The sequence below is a fragment of the Homo sapiens genome, chromosome 3 (genome assembly GCF_000001405.40).
Source record: "Homo sapiens chromosome 3, GRCh38.p14 Primary Assembly".
In the NCBI taxonomy this organism is placed as follows: Eukaryota; Metazoa; Chordata; class Mammalia; order Primates; family Hominidae; genus Homo; species Homo sapiens.
The window spans coordinates 166716780-166735384 of NC_000003.12; positions in this window are offsets into that span (position 1 = coordinate 166716780).

Genomic DNA, 18605 nt, shown 5'->3' on the forward strand with positions numbered 1-18605 from the left:
TGTAAAAGTGTCCCTATTTCTCCACATCCTCTCCAGCACCTGTTGTTTCCTGACTTTTTAATGATGGCCATTCTAACTGGTGTGAGATGGTATCTCATTGTGGTTTTGATTTGCATTTCTCTGATGGCCAGTGATGATGAGCATTTTTTCATGTGTCTTTTGGCTGCATAAATGTCTTCTTTTGAGAAGTGTCTGTTCATATCCTTCACCCACTTTTTGATGGGTTTGTTTGTTTTTTTCTTGTAAATTTGTTTCAAAAGCTAGCAGAAGGCAAGAAATAAGTAAGATCAGAGCAGAACTGAAGGAAATAGAGACACAAAAATCCCTTCAAAAAATCAATGAATCCAGGAGCTGGTTTTTTGAAAAGACCAACAAAATTGATAGACCGCTAGCAAGACTAATAAAGAAGAAAAGAGAGAAGAATCAAATAGATGCAATACAAAATGATAAAGGGGATATCACCACCGATCCCACAGAAATACAAACTACCATCAGAGAATACTATAAACACCTCTACGCAAATAAACTAGAAAATCTAGAAGAAATGGATAAATTCCTCGACACATACATCCTACCAAGACTAAACCAGGAAGAAGTTGAATCTCTGAATAGACCAATAACAGGCTCTGAAATTGAGGCAATAATTAATAGCTTACCAACCAAAAAAAGTCCAGGACCAGACAGATTCACAGCTGAATTTTACCAGAGGTACAAGGAGGAGCTGGTACCATTCCTTCTGAAACTATTCCAATCAATAGAAAAAGAGGGAATCCTCCCTAACTCATTTTATGAGGCCAACATCATCCTGATACCAAAGCTTGGCAGACACACAACAAAAAATGAGAATTTTAGACCCATATCCCTGATGAACATCAATGCAAAAATCCTCAGTAAAATACTGGCAAACTGCATCCAGCAGGACATCAAAAAGCTTATCCACCATGATCAAGTGGGCTTCATCCCTGGGATGCAAGGCTGGTTCAACATACACAAATCAATAAATGTAATCCAGCATATAAACAGAACCAACGACAAAAACCATATGATTATCTCAATAGATGCAGAAAAGGCCTTTGACAAAATTCAACAACCTTTCATGCTAAAAACTCTCAATAAATTAGGTATTGAGGGGACGTATCTCAAAATAAGAGCTATTTATGACAAACCCACAACCAATATCATACTGAATGGGCAAAAACTGGAAGCATTCCCTCTGAAAACTTGCACAAGACAGGGATGCCCTCTCTCACCACTCCTATTCAACGTAGTGTTGGAAGTTCTGGCCAGAGCAATCAGACAGGAGAAGGAAATAAAGTGTATTCAATTAGTAAAAGAGGAAGTCAAATTGTCCCTGTTTGCAGATGACATGATTGTGTATCTAGAAAAACCCATCGTCTCAGCCCAAAATCTCCTTAAGCTTATAGGCAACTTCAGCAAAGTCTCAGGATACAAAATCAATGTGCAAAAATCACAAGCATTCTTATACAGCAATAACAGACAAACAGAGAGCCAAATCATGAGTGAACTTCCATTCACAATTGCTTCAAAGATAATAAAATACCTAGGAATCCAACTTACAAGGGATGTGAACGACCTCTTCAAGGAGAACTACAAACCTCTGCTCAATGAAATAAAAGAGGATACAAACAAATGGAAGAACATTCCATGCTCATGGGTATGAAGAATCAATATCATGAAAATGGCCATACTGCCCAAGGTAATTGATAGATTCAATGCCATCCCCATCAAGCTACCAATGACTTTCTTCACAGAATTGGAAAAAACTACTTTAAAGTTCATATGGAACCAAAAAAGAGCCCGCATTGCCAAGTCAATCCTAAGCCAAAAGAACAAAGCTGGAGGCATCACACTACCTGACTTCAAACTATACTACAAGGCTACAGTAACCAAAACAGCATGGTACTGGTACCAAAACAGAGATATAGACCAATGGAACAGAACAGAGCCCTCAGAAATAATGCCGCATATCTACAACCATCAGATCTTTGACAAACCTGATAAAAACAAGCAATGGGGAAATGATTCCCTATTTAATAAATGGTGCTGGGAAAACTGGCTAGCCATATGTAGAAAGCTGAAACTGGATCCCTTCATTATGCCTTATACAAAAATTAATTCAAGATGGATTAAAGACTTACATGTTAGACCTAAAACCATAAAAACCCTAGAAGAAAACCTAGGCAATACCATTCAGGACATAGGCATGGGCAAGGACTTCATGTCTAAAACACCGAAAGCAATGGCAACAAAAGCCAAAATTGACAAATGGCATCTAATTAAACTAAAGAGCTTCTGCACAGCAAAAGAAACTACCATCAGAGTGAACAGGCAACCTACAGAATGGGAGAAAATTTTTGCAATCTACTCATCTGACAAAGGGCTAATATCCAGAATCTACCACTGGTCTTGAAAGACTCTCAGAAACAGTAGAACTGTGGGTTCTGTAAAGTGGAAATAAGGACTGAGTACAGCGTACCTCGTTATGCTGGAGCATCCTGTTTGCAGAAGAAAAACAAAACCTGGTCTCTTCTAAGATCTATGTGTTTCCTTAAATTCTTAGTTTAATTATCTGGCATTTACCGTGGGTGACTCCATTTTGGTTTGGTTTGGTCTGTTGAGGCCTAGTGCGTGAGCTCAGTCCAAAACAATGCAACCTATAATTTTGATTTAAAAATTCCCCTTTTCATCAGGTTCTCACTCAGTTGAGAGTGTGACCAAAACTTAGGGCCTTAGTGCCACTCTCAGTTGCCATCATTTTGGGATTCGAATCTCAGTATGTTATTCATAGGTTACGGTGTCCTCATTCTCACACATTTCTTTTAGCTTTTGTAATTGCAGTTGAAGAGAGACCATTTGACATTCTAGAGATGACTTCATGCAAACATTTAAGACCTTTCAGAGAATACAGCACACCAGGGATACTACTATTATGACTATGGGGAAGATAATACCAAGAATTTGGAGTATGTTCATTACCCAGGGTCCCCATAAGCCAAACCATTTTAAATAAATCAAAGAATGAGCTAGATAACTAAACAGTCTCTTCATTAATCCCCTACAACTCAATCTCTATAACCTACATTTGATGTATTTCTTTATAGGCCAAAACTGTCAGTGGCTGCACAGATGCCTTGCTGTTTAGACAATTATATTCTTTAGAATAACTTTCACAAATAATTTAAAGTCTGTTGTTGTGCATCCATAGCCTTTATAGTAGAATCTGCTAAAGGGGCTATCGTGATGCATACATTTCTTTTATTATTATTATTATTATTATTATTAATTGATTTTTAAAATTATACTTTAAGTTATGGGGTACATGTGCACAATGTGCAGGTTTATTCCATAGGTATACATGTGTCATGTTGGTTTCTGCACCCATCAACTCGTCTTTTACAGTAGCTATTTCTCCTAATGCTATCCCTCCCCAACACCTCCACCCCCCAACAGGCCCAGTGTGTGATGTTCCCCTCCCTGTGACCATGTGTTCTCATTGTTCAACTCCCACTTGTGAATGAGAACATGCAGTGTTTGGTTTTCTGTCCTTATGATAGTTTGCTGAGAATGATGGTTTCCAGCTTCATCCATGTCCCTGCAAAGGATATGAACTCATCCTTTTTTATGGCTTCATAGTATTCCGTGCTGTACATGTGCCACATTTTCTTTATCCAGTCTATTATTGATGGACATTAGGGTTGGTTCCAAGACTTTGCTATTGTGAATAATGCTGCAATAAACATATGTGAGCATGTGTCTTTATAGCGCATGATTTATAATCCTTTGGGTAGATATCCAGTAATGTGTAGGGATTCCTCAAGGATGAGGGATACATTTCTAATCATTGCCTCTTTTACTCCAAATCATGGAAAGAGGAGGACCTAACAAATAATGCCCTTCTAGAAGAGTGAAGACCTCCTGGCAAAGTTCTCTTTAACCCATGATGTGAGTTAAGAGGAGTAAACCAACATTCTGTTTCTGACTGATTATGAGGCAACATATGTATCATTTAAGTTTCTTACCTACATTGGGCCTTCATTTTTCATTTATCAAGGTATAAAGTTATCCATGTATAAGGCTGGCTGCAAATTCCCTCACAAACAAAAGTGCACTGCTTAAGTGTACACAGCATACCCCCTTTTCACTTCTATTATTTATAGAGACATAAGCAAGAAAAAGATATTCAAAATAAGAGCCTCATGATAGTAGAAAAGTCTTGATCTGTGATCTTGGGAAAGCTGTTTACATCAAGGATGCCATCTTCTTCTGGGGAGAAACTTCCCTGGTTAGCTTTATCTTAAGTGTACCAATGGCTATACAGTTTCAAGAGTGTGAAGGGACCCTTCTCAGTTGTGAGAATATGAACTCAAAGTTCAAGTTCCTGAAGTTTTGTTGCAGTATGGATGGCAAGGGCAGTCTTCCTCTGACGTTCTCAGAAGTTCCAATCTTTGGGTTTTAGATTGTGAAGGGGTTGATTGTCCTCAATGCACCATAAAAAACTTTCTTTACCTGTTGAAAATACACAGTGGCAGAATAGTCTAGTGTTATAACATCATCCTTCTTGCATGGGAAACCTTTTATACAACAACAACCAAAAAAACAGGTATTGGAAACGACAATTGATTGAGATACTACTTAGTCCAGGGCCTGGTAGTAGTCACTGTATGTCTTGGGTCTGGCATTGTTCAATCCAGATGTTAGATGGGACAGAAAGAATAACCCAGAACCCTGGAACAAACTGAGTCTCAACAATCAATACAACTTCTATTCAGTGAATGTGCATTACAGCAAACTGAAGAAAGAAGGTCCAGATTTCTAACTGAAGTATTTCACTGCTGCTTTAGAATGAATGTCTTCTGGAAGCCATCCACAAATTTTCCCACTTAACCAGGAAATATTTCTCCAATGAATGCATAAAATCATGTTGATGTAATGTGTTGGAGAGTACACTGATAAATAAATAATTGAAACTTGAAAATAAAAAAAGAAAATGATAGTTGAATAAAATTCCTTTATAAATGTTTAAAGGGCCCATCAGGTAGTGAAATTTATGAGAAGCTTTGATTGTCTTTCCAGGAATACAGGTATGACAAACTAGCATTGGTTATAAACTAGTTTAGCGATTTATAATTGTCTCCAAAGTAGGTAAATTGAAATTTTTTTAAAGTCAAAGCAATTTGTGACCTTAAAGCATTTAGTAAACCTAATATCTGACCTGCCTAATTTAGACCAAATGTCTTTATTTTACCAATAGTTTTAAAGCTGCTTTTATTTCCAAAAGATTACCAAAGTTACATGAACTAAAAGACACCAATGTTTTAATTTTTCTTCAAAGTATTTGATTTAAGCACTTATTTTTCTTTAAGCCAATTAACTGTAGCTCTTTTATATAAACATCACATACACAATACATGTATAACTACACAGACAGGCAGAAGAAGATCCAGTAGTTGTAAGATTTTTTTATTTTCCACTTTCTTAATTGGCCTCAGGATGGAGCCCTTCAATAAACAGGGCTAGTAAAACATGCAGTTTCTAAAGCTAGCAAGCAGGTACAGCTGGAAGAGAAAAACAGATCTTAGACCCCCCAAAAAGAGGGAAATGCCATGGGAGAAGACAGTGCAATGCTTTTACTGTGCATTTTATTGCATGGCAACCCAAAGCCAATCAGCACATTTTGCAATCAGCCCATTTCTAAAACTGTATTTCCTACCTATTTATTACACACTAAAGCTCTCTTATAATGAAAAGTAATCTCTGATAATCCTGTGAAAGAAAAATAAATCTTGGAAATCTTGGGGTCCCAAAATCACTAAGCTGAAAGGAAAAGTCAAACTGGGAACTGCTTAGAGCAAACCTGCCTCCCAACCTATTCAAAGTCATCCCTCTGCTCGCTGAGAGAAATGCGTATGTGATCACCTCATTTGGAAAGGCTAATCAGACACTCAAAAAATTGCAATCATTTTTCTCTCATCTACCTGTACCTGGAAGACCCCTCCCTGCTTATATTGATTGATGTCTCCTGTCTTGTTAAAATGTAGAAAACCAAACTGTGCCCCAACCACGTTGAGCACATGTTGTCAGGACCTCCTGAGGCTGTGTCATGGGCATATGTCCTCAACCTTGTCAAAATAAACTTTCTAAATTAACTGAGACCTCTCTCAGATTATCAGGGGTCACACCCACCAAAGTAAAAAACGTCAGATAACACAATGCAAAACAGAACAGAGAGTTAGACTTTGAGAGAGATCTATTGACTTTCAATTCTTGGGTTTTCCTGAGGAAAACAGAGGTTTTTCCAAAAACAGGGTTTGTGGCAATTCCTCTGTTTTTCCCAAGGAGTCCCAGGCCATCGGAAGTTATCTTAGGTCCTCTCATGTGTGCATTAAGGGTGGCAAGACAAAATAATTTAGTTGATTGAGAAGAAAAAATCTTTTTCCAAAAAAAGGACAATATCCAAGAAGAGAAAAAACAAACGACTTTTAAAGGTACCTATAGCTTGGATACCCACTTTTAATTAAGCTGACTTTCAACCATAGCCCTCTTTAAAAAATCATTTTAAATTTCTTATTACTCGCCTTTAGCCAGGCCAAGCAGCCAATATTCTGGCTTTTAAACTTTACCAAAAGTAATCTCACAGGTGAAACCAACAAGCCTCAACTAAGGTTATGACTTAAACATGAGAGATGTATTTCCAAAGGGGTGGTAAGCAGTTTTTGCAAAATCTGGAATCTTTAGAGGTAGCTCAGAGAAAGGAAGATATAAGAAAGGAAGCCAGAAGGTATTCAAGGAAGGAAGAGAGTAAGCAAGTGGTACAAGTCACAAAGATATTAACCAAAAAGTACTAATTTTTCTTAAGCCAGTATTGAACCTGTGCCACCATTGTAAAATGGCAGAGACCAAAAGAAAGTACTGCCACATGGTTACAAAGTCAAGCTACCAAGGACATAAAGCAAGATGGAGACCTCATCCAATTTTTGTTTGTTTCTTTGGTTTTCAGAGTACTGTGGCAAAGTTTGTAACTGACCAGTTTTCTAGGCTGGCTTGAAGAGTGGGCTAATGGGGTCCTAAGCCCTCATTCTGTCCTAAGGCACCCCTCTTCATGAGAGAACAATACACAAACACAAATAAAGCACACCATATTCATTACAGCTTAAGACTAGCCTCACACATTCTTTTTCCCATTAATTAAAACATCAGAGAAGAGATAAACAGTGATTTTTTTTTACTATTTATTGAACTGGTTTGCACAGAGAGAGAGAGTCCAGAAGTCTGACTGGTAAGAAATTCTTACCTATTTGCCTGCATGTCAGATTTCTGTGTTCCCCTTCCCTGAGCAGCCCTAGTGACCCTACTTATCACAGCATGGCTCCAGGGCCCAAGCCACATTACAAAGTGAAATCATGGAACCACAGGAAAAATCCTCTCTATTTTGCAAGTTGCCACCCACCCAGCTGCATGGGGGACCTGAATTTTAATATTTTCCATTCTGGCCAGAATAAAATAAGAGTGATTTAAATAAAAATGTTGAAATCTATTTAGAAGCTCAAGAATCAACATCCCTACAGGAGACTAATTTGGAAGTCCTCTTTTTTTTTTTTGTTTAATGCACTTCAGTGCATTGTTGTTCATTTGGAATGTTCTGCTCCTAGTTATATTTATGAGATTTCACCATTTCTCTAGGACTTTGCTGCTTCCTGGGCCTAATGTATAAGCTGGAAGAAACTCAGTTTTTTGGAAATTAAGGATCCCATTTCCATTTTTACCTAAAACATTGGCTTTGTTCTCAGGTTCCCTTGATTAATTTAGCCAATGATTTTTTTTTTAAGCACTCAAGAAAAATGAAACAAAGGGGTAGAACGCAAAAATCCAGGTGAATTTTTAAAAGCCAAATTTTACAATCCCTGCAATATTACCATTTACTACCAGCTTCTTTCTCACCCAGTAAGATGTTAGAGGCCTCTAACTGGATCCAAGCCAGTTAATTACCAGATCAAATTTAATTCTGGACCCAGTCCAGTTCCTATCGCAACTTCCAAACCCAGTTTGGGATCAGAAATTTGCTCAAAGAAACTCAAAGTACTCAAAACACAAATCTGTGGAGCTCCAAAATCTAAGAGAGGATTTATTCATGATCTGAAGACATTCAGAGATTAAGGGACACAAGTAGGTCCTTGAAGGTACCTTGCTTATTCACTCACCACTCCTGGGGGCTGCTAGAAGCTGTACTTCGGATCCCATTTCTAACACCAGCTGTTAAAATAAAAACTTTAGCTGAATTAAATTTAAAGGAGTCTAATTAAGCAATGAATGCTTCATGAATCAAGAAGCTCCCAGAATCACAGGAGATTCAGAGACTCCAGTGCAGCCATGTGTTGGAAAAAAAATTTATGGACAAAAAAAGGGAAATGATGTACAGAAATTGAAAGTGAGGTACAGAAACAACTGGATAGATTACAGCTTGGTGTCTGCCTTATTTAAAAATGGTTCAAAAAGCTGGCTACATTTGGTTGGCCGAAACTCAGTGATTGGGCTACAGTTGGTTTACACCTCCACTTGTTGTAGTTCATGATGTACAGAAAAACCTTTAGACCAAACTCAAGCATGTGAGGAAACAGCTTTGGCTAAACTTGATTAACAGTAGCAATAAGATACCAGCATAACACCAGGCCCTGAAAGAGTTTACAGTATTTTACCCCAAATGTAGTTCTTTGACATATTTTGAAATGGCCTAGCAAAGCTGTCTTTTGTGGAGAAAATCTACATTCTATAGATAATCCACTTATTTTTCCAGGTCTTTCTCCTAATCCAGGAGAGAATTAGCTATGAGTCTGGCATCTTTTTAACTCCAATAAGAAAGATTTACAATCTATTCTCTCCGAAGCTTGCTACCTGGAGACTTCATCTGCATAATAAGAATCTTGGTCTCCACAACCTCTTCTCTTAACCCAGAAACTCCATTCTATTGATTCCAAGTCTTTCGAGACTATTTCAACCCACTGCCAATCAGAAAATCTTTGAATTCACTTATGCCCTGGAAACCCTCCCTGCTACACTTGCACACTTTGAGTTGTCCCACCTTTCTGGACTGAATCAATGTATATTGTATTTATTGATGTCTTATGTCTCCCTAATATGTATAAAGCCAAGCTTAGCCTGACCACCTCAGGCACATGTTCTCAGGATCTCCTGGTGCTGTGTCATGGACCATGGTCACTCATATTTGGCTTAGAATAAAACTCTTTAAATAGCTTACAGAATTTTTTGTAAACTTTCTGTAAACTTTTCTTCCAACAAATGGTAATGAAGATTCTCACTTTGACCAAACTCTAGTCAGGCTCCTCTGAGCCCTTTTCTCAATTAGGCCTTAACTCTGGACTTTTTATAAAAACTGCAGATGTTCAGCAGAAATTATTTTGTTTCATTCCCTCTTCTACGTATGGAATCTGATACCCTGCAGGTGTAGGCTAACCCTCCAGTTACTATCTGGCAGGTTAAGGCAGCCAGCCTAAGAAGTAAACGGTTGAATGTGGCAATAGCCTACTTGAAAAAAATGTACATGTCATAGACTCAGAAATCTCGTGAGAGGTTACTTTCAAAAGGAGAATTTTCAATAATCTTGATTAATTATTCTTTTTTCATTTAATCTTGGTTCAACTTTTAGTGAGTTTCTCAGAATTTGCTCTTTTAACAAAATGTTTGTTTTTAAAAATACCTGCTTGAAGATTAGCTCTTACTAACATAAATACAATACTGAGGATATATATCTACTGACAAATTAAAACAAAGGATAGATGTGAAAGTAAAGGTTTTGAATTTTTAGGAATTTCTCCAAAGGCAGGGTTTCTATAATAATTTATCTTGGCTTATCACTGAGAAAAAAATGCTTCTTTATTATAGCTATTGTTTGGAAAGTAGAGAGGGCACAAAAAAATATTTTAAGGATTCACTGAAGCACAGCTTCAAACAAAATAGCTACTTGGTACCTGCTGGGAAACAAAGTCTCAGACAAACCAGCCTGGCAGGTAGCATTGAGGAGTCAAATAGTTGTTTCCCAGTATTACCTTCAGGAAGAATGCAAGGGTAGGAGGTTGAGTGTCAAACAACAGACTCTGGCAACAAACTAATGGACACTTTCATAAACATACAAAGGGTACGATATTGTTGCTTCCACATTAAATTTTTTCAGTAATGTTTTACCCCAATACACACTGATAATTACATCTGTTTATAAGTATCACAAACATGTAGCTACCATATACAACGTACATTCACCCAAATGGAAAATAATGGTGGGAAAGTGGAAGACATTTCCTCAGGAATTAGACCAGAAAATATCATAGTCACACTGGTATGGCTAGAAATTTCACTCCTTGTAACGTTCCTAAGTATTTAATTCAGAAATTTCTATTTTTTCTTTTATTATTATTATTATTATTATTATTATTATTATTATTATTATTATTATTTTTGAGACGGATTCTCCCCTTTCGCCCAGGCCAGAGTGCAGTGGCGCGATCTCGGCTCACTGCAAGCTCCTCCTCCCGGGTTCACGCCATTCTCCCGCCTCAGCCTCCCGAGTAGCTGGGACTACAGGCGCCCACCACCAAGCCCGGCTAATTTTTTTTTGTATTTTTAGTAGAGACAGGGTTTCACCGTGTTAGCCAGGATGATCTCGATCTCCTGACCTCGTGATCCACCCGTCTCGGCTTCCCAAAGTCCTGGGATTACAGGAGTGAGCCACCACCCCCAGCCTTTTTTCTTTTATTGTTTTTTAGTATTAGTTTTTGAGACCCTGTTTTGCTCTGCCACCCAGGCTGGAGTGCCGTGGGTTGATCATGGCTCACTGGAGCCTCGATCTGCTGAACTCAAGCAATCCTCCAATCTCGGCTACCCTAGTAGCTGGGACTACAGGTGGGCCACCATGCCTGGCTATTTTTTGTACAGATAGGGTTTTGCCATGTTGCCAGGCTGGTTTTGAACTCCTGGGTTCAAGCAATCTACCTGCCTTGACCTCCCAAAGTGCTGAGATTACAGGCATGAACCACCATGCTGGGTTCCTTTTTTAGAAATGTATCATGAGACAACTGGATTTTCACTTACCATTATGATGCTGCAGGAGCCCAGTCATTAATCTTCATTAGCTCATTATAGTCAAGCATCTTCTGTCTGTAACCTGAGTGTTGCAGAAGTCAAATAAAAATCAAACAACTGTGTTATATATTCCCACAGCACAATTCATCCTTCTTCTTTCTCTCTCCCCCATTTTTCTCCAACTTTGTTAATGCACAAACTTTGAGCCTTTGGCGAGATCTTAGGAATCAGTAAGGTCTCAAGTTCTAATAAAAGTAGAACATTTTTCAATGACATGTACAACTTGCTTTCTCTTCCACTCTCATATCATTCTTCATTTGTAAAAAAATTAAATAAAATAATACAATTTAATAACTTTCACACCATTATCAAATTCCTCACTTCTAGGTCACATTCCCTTTATGTCTCCCTGCACTAATCGATCAAGTTTTTCACTGTTTTTTAACAGTTTGCTACATTTTTCTCTTCTCTGATTTTGTGTGCATTATGAATCTAATATAGACAATTTACCCCATAGTGCTACTTACCATAGACAAACATTGCAGTACTATCTTCAAGGCCTTCTTCTCTAGTAAAATGTTCCTGATTCTCTTATCTATATATGATCTCACCCTTTTAGACTTTCATAGCAAGCCCTGTATTAGTCGCACTCTTGTGTGTCACCTCTCTCTTGCATGTTGTACATGGTATCCTAATCACAGAACGGGCAAAACCACTTTTTTAATTAAAAACTAAGTTTTAGAATAAATTATGAAGTATCATTAGAAGCTGTCCTGACTCTCAGTCATGATGGAAGCCATGTTGCAGTAACAGGAAAAACTCAAATCCTGCTATGGAATCATTTCCAATGCTGGCCAGCTGTGGTAGGTAGAAAATAAATTATTAAACATTCTCAAATACTTGAATAAAATTGTGACAAGTTTCCTAATACCCGGAATTTCCATGTTAGACATGTCTAGTCCTTTATCATGCGAATTGATTTCTCTTAAACATATTCTACTTTTTCTATATCTAGAATGACCCTATATTCATCATTTAAAGCAGAACACTATTGAAAATGAAAAAGGCCACTGTTAGTGATTATTTCCTAAAACAGATATAAATATAAAATAGGACTTTCCCAGGCAAATCAGTATCTATATCTCTCTCAAAATGATATGCCTAGAACTTAACATGGTTTTCCATTGTGATCTATTAGACAGTAAAATGTATCATCTTCACTCCAATATCACATAATATCAACTTAGATATTTGGCCACCATAGTACATCATTCCTTCATTCATTTATTCACAATATTCAGTGAGCTTTTTATCAACTAAAATTGCTGGATAATTTTTAATGAATTTCTACTTACCTCATCCTCTACTTACAAGTGTGGTTTCTTAGACCCAAGTGACCTTTCAAAACATGTATTTGCTAAATGTTTGAAACAGAACAAAATCAAAGATTTTGATCACTCCATTGTAAAATTTATTCCAAGAGGCCAATAATGAAACAGAGAGTTTAGTGTGTGAGCAGCTATATAAATTGTACAAAGTCACAGGGATATAACTGAGATAACACAAAGGACATCAAATTCTCATCATATTTTTAATTCCCTCTTCTTTATTAGACATTGTACTTCAAAGTTCTGAAAGACAATTTGTTTGGGAACACCCTGAACAAAGACACATGGTTGGATTGTCAAATGAGACTCACACAAATTAGAAAATTTATTTTATATTAAACTTTACCAATAAACTCAAGTGCACATGAAATTGAATAAGATTATGTATATATATGTAATCATTTACCCAGAAGCTTTCTAGGTCCTTTCTTCTCACATTAGGACAGATTCTGGTCAAGATTTAACAATCAATGACTGTAAGAAATGTATGCAGCCATTACTTGCACATAAGTAAGCTGTTTATTCACAAAACTTCGTTGTATACTGTAACAGTTACAGGTTACATGATATTTCTTATAAAGTCATACTCCATGAATCGATGGATTTCGGGTTTCTTCACCATAAGCAATTCTCAAGAGACCAGGGTTATCTTGCTAAAGCATTCTATATGCAGATACGTCCACCACAACATACCAACAATGTATTTGGCAAGGAAATTTGATTGGGTCACTTCTCTTTGCAGAGAATCTCCCAGTAAATGAAGAGAGTAGATTACAGGCAAGCTGCTAATCTCTTTCTATCAAATACTGGGTGAGGTCATAAAAAGTGATTTTTGTCTTAGTGGTTTAGCAGGGCATCTTCTCAAGAGCAGCTGTGAGTTTCTTGGTTAGATTCCTGTTTAGTATATAGTCATGAAGTTTAGCCATAGAAGCCTTTGATGAGTGACTCCTTCATTTGCATTTAGAATCTGGGATGTAAGTAAAGATGATCATTAGATTTTCATGCTTTTTAATTAGACACACTAAAATCAGTAAAACTAGTTCTCTCTCTAAATTTATTAATACTTTAAATTTTCTTAATTGTCTCTACCTTCATTAATGGATATACCCTTACATTCTATTTGAAGGAAAGTCATTTTCTCTCACCCAATGTATATTTCTTTTACCTTGTTTTTTGAGGTTGACAATTGGTGAATTAGCTTTGTCATTCAGGAGTGTGTTTAAAGGTTTAGGAGACTGATATCCAAATTAACATAACTTCCAAGAACAATTTAAAATTTCACAGGAAAGGCAATTCTAGTGAAATTTCCAGAAATTTAATTGCAATTAATTTTGCAACTGACTGAACACATATATTCCCAATAAATAAAATGATTACAGATATTTATACTTTTAGATTTGTTAGTATTTTGCTTGGAGTAATTTTAAGACATTCGAAGATGAAAACCAATGAACAGTCTACCAATCATATTATCCAATTGTTCTAATTGTACTCTATTTCATGCTGTGTAATAACAAAGAACCCAGCCTCCAGAAATATTACTTGTTTTTTTCTTCATATCACCTTAAAACGATGATCATGGAAGGCTTTACTTTTTCACTATAGGCCACTAACTATAATGTCAAAATACTGCCTATCTAATGTAAAGAAGGCTAAAATTTGCTTGAAATCTTGATACACAATTTTGACTTCTCTGCATTCAGAATTGCTATAAAAACCACTCCCATTATGACTATGTGTTTTGAATTTGAAAAATCATCTTATATTTATACAAAGATAATTAGAAATGTACAAAGGCAAATTGAAAGCCTACTCCAACTCTGCCAGTTACTTTCCTCCTTTTCTTCTTTCTTACATTTCTACCAAAAATTTACATGTTCTTTATAACAATTCAAACATATATAACTCTGCTCTGATACTTTTAGGTACTGGTATGATGGTATAAGCCTATCTGACTCTGAATACACTCCATGCTACCATCTAACTGAAAAATTGCTTGATGGGATATTTATGTTCATTTCCATTAGGATATGAGTAATAGAAAATAGTGAGTGATTTAGCATGAATTATACACATTATCAAACTGATATTTTCTGTCTTTTCTCTGTGTCATCTGTATCATATTGATAGCCTCTATAAATAAATACATGAAACTACATTAATCCACTTGAGGCAACAGGATGTGATACTTATTAAAGCAGTTCCTCATAAAATATAATTATGACTAGCACAATCACTGTTTTGACAATGAAATTAAGAATAATAATACAATTTTCTAAAAACCTCTAGAACAAAACAACTGGATCATAAATCAATTCATAACAATTTATATTTGTTGAGAACATATCAAATTGCTTACTCTACTTTTTCATGAATTTTACATTGTAAGTGTCATTATCTAGATGAGAAAAAGTCTTGCAAGAGAAAAGATTTTACTAAACTATAATATAAAGTTACAGCTAGTAGGTTTATGAAAGAAAAAGAAAGAAAAGGAAAGAGAGAGAGAAGGAAGGAAGGAAGGAAAGAGAGAAAGAAAGGAAAGAAAGAAAAAGAAAGAAAGAGAAAGAAAGAAAGAAAGTTTCTGTATAGTAGTTTAAAACCTACATTGCAAATATTGAATTAGTGATAATGCTGACTTATCAAGAAAAGGTTCATGTATTTTCTGTGCAATGCGTTCAAAAGGCAATATATATCTAGTTTATATAATGTTATATATTAAATGTATTACATTATAAACACATCTCATTCCAATGGATCACTGTGTTAATACTAGAACAGAGTAATTAATGCATAGTCTCTAGCAGTCTGAGTTATAGTTCTAGCTCTAACACTTTAACTAAGTCTCTAATATTAAGTATATTGCTTAATTTCGATATACCTCCTTTTCTCATATACCAAACGTGGATTGAAAGTAACTCATTATAGATTTGTTGTGAGCTGTAAAAGAGTCAATACATCTAAAGCTTGTAGGCTTATGTCTAGCACAAAGTAATTATAAGTAAACGTTTTTCTTTCATTATCATTTATATAAATAACCTCATTTAATTATCACCATAACCCCATGAAGTAAGTATAAATGTAATAGTTTCACAAATAATGAAACTAAACCCATAAAAGATCAATTATATTTGCAAAGTTACATAGAGTTGAAGATTTTAATTTGTACTCTGGTTGGTTGGCCTGATTCCATAACCTGTAAACTTACCTGGTACAAAATATTGCTTCACATTTTATATGTTATTGAATGCATAAGCAAAAAACATTCATAAACACAAACATAGATTTTAAAATATTAATTAATTTTTATAAATGATAAAAAGTACAAATGAATGAACTTTTTTGTACATCAACATCCAATTTATTCAGCAACACTAATTTAAAAATGTTTATTCCTTTTTCATGAATTTTCTTTGCAACTTTGTCAAAAATAAATGACCATATATGCATGGATAAATTTCTGAACTCCCCTATAGTCTTTCATGTATTTACATATCTATAACTTAAGAAATTTGGCACTGCCTAGATGACTTAACTTGGTAGTGTTAAAACTAGATAGTAGATTCCTCCAGCTCTCCTTTGTGAAAATTATTTTGGCCACTCTAATTTATTTGTTCTTTTTCCATGAATATTTTAAAAATAGTTTATTTACTTCAACCAAACACCTTACTAGAATATTAATTTGGTTAGCATTAAATCCATATGTCAATTTGAAGAGAATTACTAACAATTTTGAGTTTTCCAATTTATGAACACAGTATATTTCTCTATTTATATCTTCCTTGACTTATTTCATTAATGTTTTGTAGTATTCTGCATACAAATCTTCCATGCATTTAGGTATACCTGTCCCTATGTATCTGTTGGTTCATATAGTTAAAGGCAGGTAGGTAGGTAGATAGCTAGACAGAGATAAATTAAAATTCCATTTCTCATTGCTTCTATGTAGAAATACAATGCATTGTTGGTATATAGATCTTGTCTCCTGCCAACTTACTCAACTGAGTTATTAGTTCTAGAAGCTTTTTGTGTAAAATCTTTTGGATTTCAATATGGTTATATACAGTTTCAACGAGTACACATCATTTTGCCTAGTAAGTAGGAAACTCTCATTTAGTGACCCAGTATCTTAGTCTATTTGGATTGCAACAACAAAATACCTGGGTGGTTTATAAACAACAGAAATTTATTTCTCATAATTCTACAGGCTGGGAAGTCCATAATCAAGGTACAAGCTGATTTTGTGTCTGGTGAGATCCCGTTTTTGTGTTCATAGATGGTGCTTTCTCACTGTGTCCTTACATAGTGGAAGAGACAAGCAGCTCTCTGGGGTCTCTTTTAAAGTAGGACGCACCTCATTCATGAGGCCTATTTTCTTACAACTTAGTCATCTCCCAAAGGCTCCACCTTTTAATAACTTTTAATACCATTACATTGGAGATTAGGTTTAAACATATCCATTTAGGGGGAACATGAATATTCAGATTGTAGTGCCTACCTACCCTTCTTCTAGAGAGATCAATCTTTATTTTTACTCTGAAAGTTAACCAGTTTTCTCTAAAAAGGTTAAGTAGAAGACTCTATCTTTACTACACTGGTATGTCTCTGGGGAGGGAGATATCCCTAATCATTACTTTTATAAAAGGTCTCATAAACATGTTGGACATAAACATAGATGATTAAACTAGAAAAGTCCTTTTTCAAGTTATCTGCATCATTTTTGGAAACTGTTTATGTTTTATAAAATGTAAATAAATTTACTCCCTAAAGATTTGTAGTAAGGATAAAATTAAAGAACATACTTTAAGAAATGATCTCTTACATTGGAACTCTGTGTAAAATTTCACAGAATTTTCTCAAATCATTGAATGACCTTTTGGAATATATAATTTGTTTAGACTTTTCTAGTTCTTTACCTTCAAAATCCTATTTAATCTTGGGGTAAAGGGTCATTTTCATCCAACTAGGTAGAGAAAGCTGTGATAATATTAGGTATAGAATTTTTCAGGGACAGAAATCTGAATGTCACTAAAGTGGTACATTAGAAGCAAACTTTCTTCACTTGCCCCCTTCCACAGAAAATCAAAAACAAAGTGCCAAGATTCTCATCAGCAATATCCCTGAATTTAAATATGATAATAATGCATTCCCCAGGGCTGCAAATAAGTGAAAAATACATTATGCAGACAATAGGAGAATCTAACTTTTAAATCCATGATGCCCTTTTCCTAATCTGCCAGGCACCAAGCATGTGAAATTTTTCCTCAAACCCTGGTTACTACACTGGAAATAGTGATATCAAGCTTAACCACCATCCTGGGTTTTCTGTCAGAAGACCTGTCCCTACTTAAACCCAAGGGAAGCATCACAAGTGCCTGAAGGGAAAAAAATTCCTAAGGACAGCAGAGACAAAAGGTGGAAGTGGGACTAGCATCCATCCTCAGACCAGAAAACTCTGCTCTGTATATCACCCAAATTAGGTATCAAGTAAGAGTGGTTGTTAAGCAGCATCACAAGGTAGGCAGTACATTCCACGGGTCTCCTAGGCATGAACATCTAGCCATCCCTTCTGCACTGCCAGACTTTCTCTTTTGTTACCTTCCTCATATGGGCATGGCAGCATTCCATGTTTGCTAAAGCTGAGGAAAACCTGGGCCTAAGGCTACAGCTAGTGCCGAAAAGGCAGACAGTGACTCAGCCGTAAAAGGGAATTCAACAGGTATAGTCCACAGAAATCTCTATGCAAACATAACAAATGCAAATCAAAGCAAGCCAAACAGAGAAGACTGGAATAAATAGCTAATCTTACAATGCAAAAAATGATATATGTCCACAGAAAAAAATAGCAAACAAGAAACCATGACTTCCACAAATGGACAAAACAAGACACCAATGACCAAACCCAATGAGACAGTGATAGGTGAGCTCCCTGATAAAGAATTTAAACTAGCAGTTTTTAGAAAACAGAAACTTCCAAAATAACACAGAACACAGTTTAGAAATTTACCACAGTAATGTAATAAAGAGATAGAATTAGTAGTAATGAAACATAAAACAGAAATCCTGGAACTGAGAAATACATTTGCTGAACTGAAAAATTTATCGGGT